At 52.3% G+C, this 13,362-nt stretch overlaps 1 protein-coding gene across 10 annotated transcripts in view; it reads right to left on the minus strand.

Annotated features, from left to right (window-relative positions):
• Window positions 1-13,362, minus strand: part of LRIG1 (leucine rich repeats and immunoglobulin like domains 1) — a 122,325-nt gene that overhangs the window by 19,957 nt on the left and 89,006 nt on the right. For 4 of the 10 annotated variants that reach the window (NM_001377345.1, NM_001377344.1, NM_015541.3 and 1 more), the window contains 4 exons: window positions 11,376-11,519; window positions 8,595-8,738; window positions 6,445-6,525; window positions 217-288 (listed from right to left, as the gene is read on the minus strand). In NM_001377345.1, coding sequence (NP_001364274.1) covers window positions 217-288; window positions 6,445-6,525; window positions 8,595-8,738; window positions 11,376-11,519 — 441 coding nt within the window. Of the gene's footprint in view, window positions 1-216; window positions 289-6,444; window positions 6,526-6,902; window positions 7,406-8,594; window positions 8,739-11,375; window positions 11,520-11,719; window positions 11,739-13,362 lie in introns of those variants that run through there. The other 6 variants (XM_047447939.1, XM_011533578.3, XM_017006135.2 and 3 more) reach the window with 5 other exon arrangements.

A 13,362-nucleotide genomic window follows, 5' to 3' on the forward strand; every position in this document is an offset into this window, starting at 1 on the left:
CTGGGAGCACATCCACTGGCCATATGTTCTGTAACTGTTCCTGGCATAGGCAACATAAAGGCCAAAGCTGAAGCTGACATAATGAGAAGGAAGCAGCTGGTGTTTCCAAATAGCCTGTTTCTCAGTTTACAAAGATGCGATTAAATTGCTAGCAGAACTCCCCGGCAGCCGCATTCAGCAGGCTGTGCCTCAGGGCAGGGCTGGTGAGATACTCACAGGTGCTCCAGGCCTTCCAGCCCCGAGAATGCTCTCTTAGCCACAGACTTGATCTTGTTTCCAAACAGAGTCCTGTAGTTTCCAAACATCCAGAAATTAAGGCCAGGGAAGGAAAGCGAAACAGGAAGGGTTGAGAGAAAGAAAAAGAAAAAGAAAACACACAATTAAGGTAGTGCTACCTGATAAGTCTGTCCAGTGAGGGGCAGGTGGAAAGCTGACCTGCGCTGAGATTACGGGTTTGAGGCACGCAGGCCTTCCCCTTTCTGAAATGAAATACTTTTATCTTTATTAGAATTTAATAGTGATGATAGGCTGGAATTGCATGTGCCGTCTGGCCTAAAAAAGGCCCCTCCCAGTGTTAGGCAGAAATCACCTTGTCTGGCCCAGTCTCTCTCCAAGGACCACCAACCCTTGGGTGGTGAAGTTTAGTGATGGAGAGATGAGACTGATTATGGTTTCAGTGAGAGGAAGCTGAGTCAAAAAAGGAAAGAAAAATCTTCGGAATTAAAACTGCTGACCATGACTGGGCATGGTGGCTCACACCTGTAATCCCAGCACTTTGGGAGGCTGAGGCAGGAGGATCACTTGAGCCCAAGAGTTTGAGACCTGGACAACATAGGGCAACCTTGTCTCTACAAAAACTAAAAAATTATCCGGGCATGGAGACACGCACCAGTAGTCGTAGCTACTTAGAAGGCTGAGGTGGGAGGATTGCTTGAGCCCAGGAGGTGGAGGCTGCAGTGAGCCATGATTGCGCCACTGCACTCCAGCCTGGGCAACATAGCGGGATGTTGTCTCAAACAAAAAACAAACAAAAACCCCCAAACTGCCACCCACTTCTGAAAAGTGCATTCTGGGAATAAAGCTTCCCAAAAGAGGCAAGAAGAGGACAGTAAAATAGGCATCCATCAAGCTGGCTCCACAGCTGTCTGCACCTGAGATGTCCTGGCAGCCAGCACACAGCCATGGTGAGCTGTGTCCCTGCCTACGAGAGGGACCCCTCAGGGCCTGCAGGAGATGCCCCAGTGCTTTGGCTCTTAAGCCAGACCCCAGACGTTACATGATGTCAGTGGGCCAACCTCCAACGTTATCGCTAGTGCCTGTCCCCTTCCTGGACTGCCTGCTCATAAAAAGGGGTTCCTGCCTCCAGGCAACTCTGATCCCAGCCTTAGCAGTAACTGTTAAGAGTTCTCCCAGAAACCAAAGTCTGCGCCCCTGCAGAACACATGGAAGAAATGAGTGCCTCCTCCACCACACTGTGTGATCTAAAGGGAAGCTTGTCTCTCTGCAGGGAAGCCCCTAGGGTGGACACTGGGAATGAAGAGAATCGAGTTTTCCCCTCCCCGTTATCATGTTCTCTGATGAGAACCCACCAAAGGCATTCCCTCTAATCCTGATGGCACAGGAGACTACCAGGGAACAACCAAAGGCAGTGCTGACCATCAGCTTCGTGGACTTGTCAATCTTAAGGTACACCAGGATCTAACAGGCTGGCTAAGAATACCGATTGCTGGGAGCCAACTCCTGGTGATTCTCAGCGTCAACAGGTCTGTCCAAGGCAATGGGGTGCAGGTGGGCAGGAGAGGAAGCCCCTGGAGAAAGCCCATCTGGCCCAGCCCCCTACTGGGAAGGGGACTCTTGGTCCAGGATCTCACCTAGCATCGGGGAAGAGACCGGACTAGAAGCCATCTCCACCTTCAGCCTGCATTAAGACTGGGACCCATAAGGGAAAACAAGAAGCCCCAGCCCCTTCCTGAAAGGAGGAAAAGAAAGGAAATATAAGCCCTGAAGCAAACCAAAGATGGCAGGGCAGCCTGGGACCTGCCCACCACACGGGCCGCTGCTTCTTCCTGACTGCAACAGGCCTCCTGGGAACCGCTTGGGCAGGTACCAGGAGGCTGCCTCCTGGAAACACAGGCTCACAGCAGAGCCAGAGGGAGGCACCACCAGTCCGTGTGGCCAGCTTCCAGGGCAGCCACTCCACAGGGGCTGCCTGACCCTCCGTTTCATCAGAAACAGACTCCCTCCCTGGGGGCCACCATTCAGGATGACCCCAGCACTAACTGCAAGCTCAGCCCTCAGACAAAGCCAGCTCTGTTTCCTGCCTCCGGACGGTGAAGGGGCAAACGGGCCAGAGACCCTCTGCGTTTTCTTTCTTTCAGGCCGTCTGCATGAATGTGAAAACAATCGCATTCTGAAAGCGTTTCCACACCTCTCTTCAGTCTGAAACTTTTATTTTAAAACAAATAAACCAAACACACAGAAAAGCTGATGGCCATGCTAACTTAGGCGCTTTAACCACAAAACTCGCCAGCAAGTAACAGCTCATGGGGCACTGCACCCCGAGCGCTTCAGAGAGCACTGCCAACTTCTACTCTTACTCAGATCCCCCCGCCCAGGCACTGTGTGCCCCAGGTCCCAGTAAAAACGCATTGAACTGTTTAGTGAAATCTCCTGTAAATGAGATCCAGGAAAAAGCTGCGCTTTATTTCATCCATTAAATATTAGTCACATTGACCTGTTTTACAATGAGGGCAGGCTGTTATTTTTAACGGTGACAATAGCAATAAAATAAATTCTCAAATTCTCAATTATGCAGGGGCTAATCATCTTGTTGGTAGATTAGGCAGGGTCCTTACCTTCCCCCAGCAGACATATGGGGCTGGGACGGGGAGCTGCAGCCAGCAGACTGGGATGGCTCTAATAAAAGGCTGCTGCCAGGAGAAAGGAGAGGCGGGATTATGGGCTGGGAGGACACTATTTCTGTACCACAGCCGGGCTCCCTTTCAGAAGGAACACCTGGCCTGACCTCCCCAGCACCAACCTGGAACAGAAAGCGACCTGCGGGAGTCACCTGTCAAACCTCCCATCCATCTCCTGGCCAACCCAGCCAACAGCTCCAAAGGCCTGGTTAGCGCTTGCCAAATCAAGTGGCAGGTACTGGGGGCAATGCTCACATGGGTCCTTGTACTCATGTCCTTGGAAGTAGCCGCGACATGTGCACTAGCCCCCGCTTCCCACCCACACACACAATGAGTTCCACTGCAGGCCCGGCCCCCACATAGGCAGGGATGGAGGCTGCGCTCACATCAGCTCTGCAAGATCCCCCAAACATGCCCCTTCCCATGTGCCCTGTGTGGGACTCTGCCCCTCCCTCCGAGGAATGCCATGGAGCCAGCTGGAACCACTGGGCAGGAAGTCGCATACCCAGGTCACTAACTGCTCCTCTCTGCCTGTAATTTGGGATCCAGAAATTCTCCCTTCCCTCCCGCGTACTGACTCTGTGCCATCGTGCAGGCCCCAGCCCGGGAACCGCACAACCATTTGGAAACAGGCCCTGGAGTGGGTCTACAGCAGAATCCCAGACCAGTTAGGAAGAAAGGCATGCGCTGGGGTCTAGGAACATTCCCACCCTGCTGGGAAGCTCCAGTGTGAGGAACTCTCCAACACAGCTGTGTGCGTAAGCTGGAAAAATTAAGGGCAGGTCAGCATCCACCCCAAATTCACAGAGAGGCCGTTTATGGCTCTGCTACTCACATCTCCCTTTCTTGGAAAACATTTTAATTTAGGTCTGACCTCTTGCATGGTGGGAAGGACCCAAGGTCCTTGAGTAACTCAGCGAAGGCAGGGGTCTCTACCTTCCCATCCTAGGGCAGACCCTGAACACAAGCTCCTTGAGCTCTCCAAAAACAAACCCACACCAAATGAAGGGACTCAGGCACTGGCTGCACTCCCCACAGGACGGATCAGCTGCTCTAGAGGGGCGGCTCTTCTCTGTGCTAACACGCACCCCACTTCTCAGTGGATCCTAACAGGCCGGCACTGGGCCACTCCCACAGAGCAACACAGTGCTGTCTGTGGTCACTTCTCTCAGCCAGGGCCACAGCGCAGAACTTTCCTGGAATGTTCTGAGTAGGCGGGTGGGGAGGGGACCAAAGAGGCACTGGGTTCTTCCTCTGTCCCTCCCTTCATTCAACAAACATCGACTCAACACCTGTGATAGGCCAAACACAGCAGTTTTTACATAGCCCTGTGTACCATGATCATATGAGAAGCATTTACTTCTCCGGTTCCCTTTCAATGTGGAAATTTGCACATACCATGCTAGGTAGACGGAGTAGTATCCTGAACCCCAAGTGCCCGTGACACAGTGCCAATCCTCCTCCGGTCGTGCCAATCTCACCTCATCTCTACCTCTAGCCACTGCCCGTTCTCAAACCCAGCAGGAGTTTATGGAATCCAAATCATAGGCATCATACCATTTTCTTTATCCAAGAAGAAAATGATTCATTTTTTTCTTTTGCCACATAACCATGATAGCATCACACTTAAATAAGTGATTGCATATATTTAATCATATTAAGGAATTCTTGTTTATTTATTGTCCCAGCTTCCCCACTTGGATGCATGTCTTTCTCTCTCACCCTTTTTCAAACATACACAGAGTCTCCAGCCCCAAGATGCTGACTCAGTGGCTGGGTGGGGTGAGGCTTCGATTTTAACAAGTTCCCAGGAGTCTCAGGACCAGCTCACTACAAACAACATTATGTGAGTGAGGAAAGCAGGGGCTTGGGCTGACCTCTTGGGGCTCAGGTGGAAGAGCTGAGCCTAGTCCAGCAGGGGGACAAAGGAGAAAGCACCAGGGCACAGAGGGCGGGCACTCAGGAAGGCAGTGGCGGACTCATGCAGCACTGGAAGCCCAGGCGACCCAGGGCCAGGCACACCTCACGGGCCTTCTGTATTGAGACAGAGCCTCCTGGAAGCCATGACACCCAGGAAACGGCTCCAGGTTCCTCCGGACTGACACGCCCCACGAGGAACCTGGCAGTGCTGCCCACTCTCACCACCCTCACCCTTCAATCGGTTATGGCCGAGGTCAGGGAGGCTTATGCTGAGTGGTGGCGCCAGTGCTGAACACCTCAGCAGCCACATCCCAGGCCTGGAGCTCTTCTTGCTAAGAAGGCCTCTGCCCCACCCCACTTGGTACTTCTGGCTCTTCCCAGGTTTGCCCCGTATGGGATAAAAAGGGGTCACGTATGGGTTAAAGGCTGGGGAAAATCAGCATTGTTTTAGGGACAATAAGGAGAAGAATCACTGATAAGCATCTCCGACATGCTGCTGGAGTACAGGACGCTCAAGAAGTACCTTCTTCAGACAGCCAACAGAGCTTATTCCTAAGCAGGACCCTTGTATATAAAAGGTGCAAAAAGCCACGCTTTTCAAAACAAATCAGAAGCATCTACTATATAAAAAGACTCTCCCTACCACAGGCTCTCCTCTATCATCGAGCTCCACTAGGGCTTTCCAAATATTTACTTGACACTCGCACTCTGCTGAGCTCCCCGTCACTGGGGACGGGCTGGGGGAATCGAGCGGCAGCCGTCCTCTCTGTCTTGCCCTCCTCCAGTCTTCCCTCCGAGCTGCTAGTAAACAGTAATAATGACTCTCGTCCCCTTCCTGCACGGTCCTTGGGTGGCATCTGCAGAAAGTGCTGGTTACACGCAGAGAAAACAGGGCGGGCCAAGGGGAAGGGAACGTGGGCTTTGGAGCCAAACAAGCAAATCCTGAGCCTGCCACTTGCCAGCCGTGTAGTTTTGGGCGAAATCCCCTCACTTCTCTTTCCTCAACTAATAAAGAGGTTGCCTAACAGAGCCTGCCCTCATGAGATCATTAGGTACAACACACACAGGTGCTTGGCAGATTAACTGGCAAAATCTAGGAGCTAGCTAGGAAAAAAAAGAAAAAGACCCCAAACCATACATTCAAAATAGCTGCTACTACGACCCTTGGAAATGACGTGGTTATTTGAGATGATGGTTAATGACGAAAGTACTGACAGGAGCCCCACCGCCCTCACACCTTACTGACCTTTACACAACTTTGAGAAACCCAGTAACAGGGCAAGACTCCTTTGTACAAAGGGCAACAGCAAATTCAGCAGTTTTCATGTGAGTTGTGAGTGAAGCCCAAGAGAAGCTCCACCAGCCGCCAAACGCCGGGTTGCCAGCCCCCAAGAACCCAACACCCAGGCCATCAAGGAGTGGGGTGTCCCCCACCCTCTTCTTCAAACTCTTCTCCACAAACAAAACAAGCTCTGCCCCAAACAAAAGCCAGCTCCTCTTCCGCCTGGGCCCAGAGCAGAGAGGCGCGGGGGGCGCCACAGAAACATCTCCCACCCAAGTGTGTCCCGCGCATTTGCCGGCGGAGCTCCGTGCGGCGGATACTCACAGCTTGCTGAGGCTGTCGAGCCCTGAGAAGGCGCCGCTCGTGTCCTCTATTGTGCCCGAAATCTCGTTATGGTCCAGATCCCTGGGGAGAGGACAGAAAGCAGCTCACCGAGCAGTCGGGGCGTGAAGGGAAAGCAAACTCTCACCCAGCCTGCTGCTCGGAAGCTGAAGTCCCCTGGGTGCATGCACCCTGGAGGCACAGCCGGGACGTAGGGTGAAGAGACACGTGGCCCTGGGAGGGAAGCCCTGTTTCTCAGCCTTCCAACCAAGATGACACATGCCTTAGACAAGAAACTTCCCTGGGCTCCACCTGCCTCCCTGTCTGCGGAGGCCACACTCAAGGGAAGGGAGGTGGTGCAGACAGCCCAGTCTGTATTCTGCCCCGAGAGAGCGGACATCTGGCCCCAGCACTGAGAATCAACCCAAAAGGTTCCTTAAGGCTCCCGTCTGCTCTCATACCAACCAGAGTCCCTTTTCTGGACATGACCGAGAAACTGCAGAAAGCACATGGAAGAAAGAGACCCGGCACAGGGCCGGCCCGTGGGCGCCTCCGTACCAGCCAGTGGGTCTGGAGCCCGGAGCCCATCTCCTCCCAAGGCCTGCAGGGCGCTGACTCTGAGCCAGGGAGGACATCTGGGTGCTGAGTCAGACTTGTGACCCACTCGCCAGGATCAGAGGGATGAGGCCAACTCAGCCCAGGCCCCTCCAACAATGCAAATCCCATGGCCGATGACTCAATGGCTTCCCAGCTTCCAGGAGCAGGTCACAGTGCCCAGGCGAGACATCACACCTGGAGACCAGGCCCCCATCCTGCCCTCTCCAACTTTCCACAAGGTTCTTGGTTCTTAAATTTTCCCCCCGAGCCCTTGCAGACACAGGCCAGGGAGAGAAAAGGAACTCTTGTCTCCTGTGAGAAGCTGCAGCAGGAATCAATGCTGCCAGCAGAGAGGGCAGCTCTGACTGAAGAGTGAAATGCTGGCGGTGACCTTTCTTGTCACAGCAGGAAGGTCAAATAGTGGAGATTCTGCTGCTGGAAGGGACTTCTCCTCTCAATGGGTTCCTTCCTATCATCTGCATACTGAAAAAACCAGGAACCAGGGACCCGGGGCTGTGGCTTTGTGTGCCTGTCTCTCTGCTCCTAGCCCTGGCTGCCAAAGTTTTTCTCTCCTTTCTGGCCCGCTCAGTCTGAATGTTCCCAGCCTTGTTATTTGGGCCTTGTATGGGCTCACAGGCTGACCTGGCCTGAATAGCTTGGCTCCGGCCTCTTTCACACTCCCTGGCAATGGCTCCACATTAAAGCCGGCTCTGCCAGGTGCAAGTGCAAAGGCCTCCCTCCCTGTCACACTGGAACAGATCCCTCTCTGTGCAGTGGATTACGCCTGAGAAGGAGACCCTAGAACCCGCCACCACTGTCCTCTGAAACCTGCATGCCCCTCTCTGGGGGTTTTATGCTGACAGCTGCTTGGAAGTTCTATGAAGCCAACCATGGAAAAGTTTTATACAAGCCTCAGAAAAGCATCCTGCAGCCACTTTTGCCAACCCCATCTAATTAGGGACTTCAAGGGAAATGGCATTAGCACCTCCACTTTGTTAACTGACCCCCGACGAGGTACAAGGAGAGACACAGGATTCCCTAAGTGCTGCTTTTGGAAAGGAGGCATCTTGGTACAGGTTATGCTGAAGAAGTTCAAATGCTCAGACGAGAGATGCACTGCAGTATTCCCATGGTTTAGAGAAAAAATATTCAGGACTTGGAAGTTGCAGCTGAAGACTCAAGATGGGAAAGACTGACCCACGGCTGCCGAACTGGAGGCTGCACCAGGCGCTCAGCGTGGGGAAGCTTTTTCCAACACTAGGAGCCAGCATCCTGTCCAGCACAACGTGGGCATCACTGCTTGAGAACAACTACTTTTTAGGAGCTGCCATCCCTCTCTAGGCACCATCCTGGGGAAATGAGAGATTTTTCTGCTTAACCAGTTCTTTTTCAGTTGATTACATAAAAGTTTGAGACTCTGCACATAGAGCAAGCCAGCTTTGGATCCAATTCTGACTCGAAGCCAACGCAAATGGAGTTCAACAAAGCAGATGGTTTGCTCTATTCTGCTCTCCCCACTGGGGACCCCTTTATCCTGTCAGTAGTGGGAGACGTACAAGACTCGCAGGCTCCTGAGTCCCTTGAAGGCACCCTCCGCAATGTGGCTGATGGAATTGTGGCTGAGACGCAGGACACTCAGGCTGCTCAGCTCGGCCAGGCTCTCCTCGTCCAGCCGTGTCAGGTTGTTGAAGGACAGGACCCTGAGGAAAGGGAGGGCAGCAATGTCACCATCTAGTGTGGTTGCCCCCCAACCCCACCCCACCGGAAATTGGGCCACAGTCAGCTGGGTTTCAGTGGGAAATGACACAGATGCACACGCACGCGCGTGCGTGCACACACACACCCACACCCACAGAATCCTGGGGGTAAAAGTGGCCATGCAGCTAGAAACTCATCAGTGCCCAACACACTAGTCTGACTCGTAGAATGGGTGCATAGGTCACAGGGGCCAGGGTGGCTGTTAAACTGTGAAGACTACACACGAGGTCATGACACACAACAACTCTCAAGCTCCAGCGCCTTCATGCTGTCCAAGGCAGCTCCTGATTCAGGCTACAAAAGACCTCTCTCATAGCAGAAGCCTGGGATTCTGGAGATGACCCCGCAGCAAGCCAGGGAGCCCCAGTCACACTCCCTGCATCTGCCAGCAGAGGGCACCACTAGCCCCTGCGTGGGACAACCACACCTGTGCCTCATGCCTTAGTGGGGCAACTCCCCCAGGGCAGGAGGCTCCTGCTCAGGCCTCCCTGCCCCCATCCACGTGGACCTCAGAGCATGATCCCCTACTGCAGGCGGTAAAAGCACATGCTTTGCCCGAACCTCAGAATCAAAGCTTCCTCCCAGCACTCCTGCACCTCTGGGTTGCTTACGTGACATATTGGTCATCTATCGTTGAAAAATTGGGGCTGGGGCAGGGATAGGAAGATGGAAAATAAACTCAGAGAAGATTAATGAGCTTTTAAAGGCAGCTAGGAGCAGCATTCTTTCCCTCCTGGACAAATAAGTCAGGGTGTCTGTCAGTTAAACAGACCTGGCAGGAGATCAAAATTATATCCTCACCTGCAATTAAAGAATTTAGCTTAAAGGAGGGGTGGGAAACACATGCTGGGAAGCAATCCCAAATCTGCCTCTGAGGTTACCTGGATATGGTGCAAACTGCTAGGACTGCTCAAGCGCACTTCTGTGATCTTTGCTGCCCCTTCTAGAGGGCATGGAAGAGGGCTTCATGCCTTCCACCAGCTAGAGAGGGGATCCCGGACCCCGCAGAAGACAGCATGCCATCCCTGGGGCCACGATACACTGGTGAGTCAGAGGATGGCCCCTCACTTTAAGAATTGGACTGGCTCAGGCTTCGGGGACTTAAAAGACCTCTCTTGCTTCCCACACCTCCCGGCCCTGACCAACAAAACCAGGAGTCCCCTGGTGGGGTCACAGCTTGACTACAGAGCCTGAAAGGAGCCATCCAGCACCACATGGAATGCACAACTGCAGGCCCTGAAGCGTAGGAAGCTGAAACCAAAGGGTTAACACTCACAGAATCCAAGAAAAGTTAGGAAAGAGGCAGGACCACTGTGTTTTGCATTAGATAATGATGGAGTCACCAAAATATAAACTCCAAGTCAGTGTGTGTGTGTGTGTGTGTGTGTGTGTGTGTGTGTGTGTGTGTGTGTGGTGGGGGGAGGGGGGGAGGAGGAGGGAAGGAAGGACAGGGAGAGAGAGGAGAACACAGAAGACCAGACACAAACACCAGCTGCAAGAATCCACATTAGATTCACGCATCCCCTTGAGTTTGCCTGGTGAGGTCAAGAGAGAGACAGGACAGACTGAGGCTTGGCACTCTTAACAATCATTCACTTCAGTGGGTGAATTTTTTCCAACAGCCAAGCCTAGAAAAGGAAGAAAAAAACAAAACAAAACAAAAAAACCCACCCAACTCTTGTGAAAAATAAAGAAACACAGTAGACTAAACTGGAGCATATCAAATGGAAAGAACAGTGAAAACACAAACTATAGACTTGTAAAGATGTTCTCTGAGTCCTTAGGAATGCTGCGTTCACTGTCCAGTAACCCCACCCTGACATGATGGGGTGGCCAGGGCCACTGCCCATCGCTACCCAGGCGACAGTCTGTCACTACTAATCTCAGAACTTTGGGCAAGACAAGCTCAGTTCTCAGTCTCAACCTGGGACCCCTGTCTGGAAATCTCCAAAAGGAGCAAGAGGACCACACCACACATCTCTGAACTAAGCACGCACACGACTGCACAGGAGCCTCTGCCAGCAGGCCACTGCGGTGCAAAACAGAGAAAGGGAAGGGGCCAAGAACCTGGGCAGCTCATCTACAGGAAGGAAGGTGGCGACTCCGAGGACACAAATTCATCCACAGTCAGCGTTTCACTGTCTCTGTTTGAGCCCAAATGACCCCCTCACTGAAGAAGCACATGCTATTTGGTGTGGCCATTAACACACAGTCACTCTCAAAATGGCTCCTGTGAGCACTCTGCCATAGCTGCCCTTCCCCAGGAACTTTCTACCCCTGGAACTGTCTCCAAACCCAACAGGACCTTGGGGGCCAAGGCTCCCTGCAGGGACCTAGCTGCTACTCCTGGAGCCCCTGCTAATCCAAATGCAGAGGAAGTGAAGGGGAGATGAGGAAGGGACTGGGGCTCAAATCGCTGAGGGTTCCACCCTGGGCCTGGCTGGTTTGGGAACAGGGCTACTGGCCTGTCTCTGAGCCCTCCCCGAGGCCACTGTGTGGTGGAACGAACCAGGCCTAGCACTTTCACCTCCAAGCAGTGTCTAAAAACACTGCCACAGCCCAGAGCCGAGGACACTTACAACTCATGCAGCTTCTGGCAGAAGCTCCAGCCCTTGCGGTGAATGCGAGCGATGGAATTGTTGCTGAGGTGGAGCTGATGCAGGGCCGTGAGGCCGTAGAGCGAGCCGCTGTTCACTTCTACCAGGCTGTTGTACTCCAGGTGCCTGCAATGACAGCCATGCACAGGATGAAGAGGAGCTTTCACTCCCTTCACTGGACAGACAGCAAATGAGCAGCCACGCTGTACCTGACACTGCGGTCACACCAAGGCTAGAACAGTGCACGACAGAACTGTGGAGTCTAGTCGCACACATGTGCATGTGAGTAGGGGCTGGGAGAAGACAGGCAAATCAAAATGGATGACAGCACATGCCAAGGCCGACTCGAGTGTTCATAGGGCAAGAGGGAGCTTCCTAGAAGTGACTTTTTTGGCTGAGTAAAAGTGAACCAGGGCTGGGTGTGGCGGCTTATGCCCATCCAGTACTTGGGGAGGCCGAAGAAGGAGGATCGCTTGAGCTCGGGAGTTCGAGACCAGCAAGGGCAATATAGCGAAACCCCATCTCTACCAAAAACAAAACAAAAAGTGACCCAGGCCAACAAACGGGCACAGGAGTTCCAGGCAAGGGCAAAGCCCATTAAAGGAATAGAAAGGAGAGCGAATAGGAGGCGGCTCTTATTATCACCCGCATCTCACACATGAGGAATGTGCTGCTGAGAGAAGCCAGGTAACCTGTCTAAGACTTTACACAGCTTAGCCAGTAGGGAAGGGGCTAGAATTAATTCAACCCTGGGTCTGCCTACCAAAGGCTGGACTCTGTGCCACTGTGCTAGGAGACCCGCTTTAGCTCTGGCGTCAGACTACCTGGATTTAAATCCTAATTTTGCAGCTTGCTGGCTGAATAAACCTGCACATCTACTAACATGGAGATATCCAAGAGCACTGACTCCATGGGGTCACTATAAGAAGGAAACAAGGGTACATCAGGATTCAGTGCAGCTCTAGGCCTGAGCTCTCAGGCCCACCGTGTAAGTGTGCTAGCACCCCGCTTCCCAACACAGCATGTGCCAGGAAGGACAGCGCCAGCCCAGGCAACCGCCTCTTCAACAAAAGTCCGTAACCCGAATTTTGCTCCGTGTTCAGTATTACAAGGGCTTTGGGTAACTGAGTTTTGCTTTTTTCCATCTTTCTTTCTGCTACTGCTCAAAAGGTAAGCACTTAATGTATAAATAACCTCTAAGGCAGCTCATCAGTCTCAATTTATACAAATCTGTTCAACATAAAAACCAAATGGTAGGTGCTAACTCCATTTTCCTCTGAGAATTCTCTTTTAACTTCAGTCCACCCAGCACATGACCACCTTGGACTTCCAAGTCCAAAATGACATGCCTAAGGAGGTCAAGTGAAACGTTTTTGAATATGTAAAACAAAGGGTGGAGAATGGGTAGAGCAAGAAGCCCAGCGGCAGGAAACATCCTCACTGTTCACAGAGTAGGGAGGGCTGGTCATGCAGAGACGGTTATCAGAGTGACACAGCACAACATGTGGATGGACCTGGGCCTAGCTCGTTTCCACTGCCAAGAAAACCAGTAAAGGACATTCGAGTCATGATATAATTTGCCCAGACTGGAAGAAGAAGGGGCGGACATGAGCAAGTTAAATCATTGACTCTCAAGGAGGAAATCGCAAGTGGATAAGTAAAGACAGTGGTGTCAGTCTATCAACTTGGAAGGAACAACCAGCAAAGCTAAAAACAGAAAAACGAAAAAGAGAAAGGCTTAGAAGTGCTTGCCTCTTGGGAGAAGAACTGGGGTGAAGAGAGAATGAGGGGGTGGTGGCGGGGGAGGCTGGGGTGGGCAGTGATGGCTTTTCTTTACTATCTGATTTTATTTAACTATACAGTCAAATTACTTTTGATTAAAAATAAATATTAACGTTTAAAAAGGCTTTCAACGTTTAAAAAGCCTTTTCTGTATGCTGCCCTGCTGTTTCACGTTACCGTGCAGGCA

The sequence above is a fragment of the Homo sapiens genome, chromosome 3 (assembly GCF_000001405.40).
Source record: "Homo sapiens chromosome 3, GRCh38.p14 Primary Assembly".
NCBI classification, from domain to species: domain Eukaryota; kingdom Metazoa; phylum Chordata; class Mammalia; order Primates; family Hominidae; genus Homo; species Homo sapiens.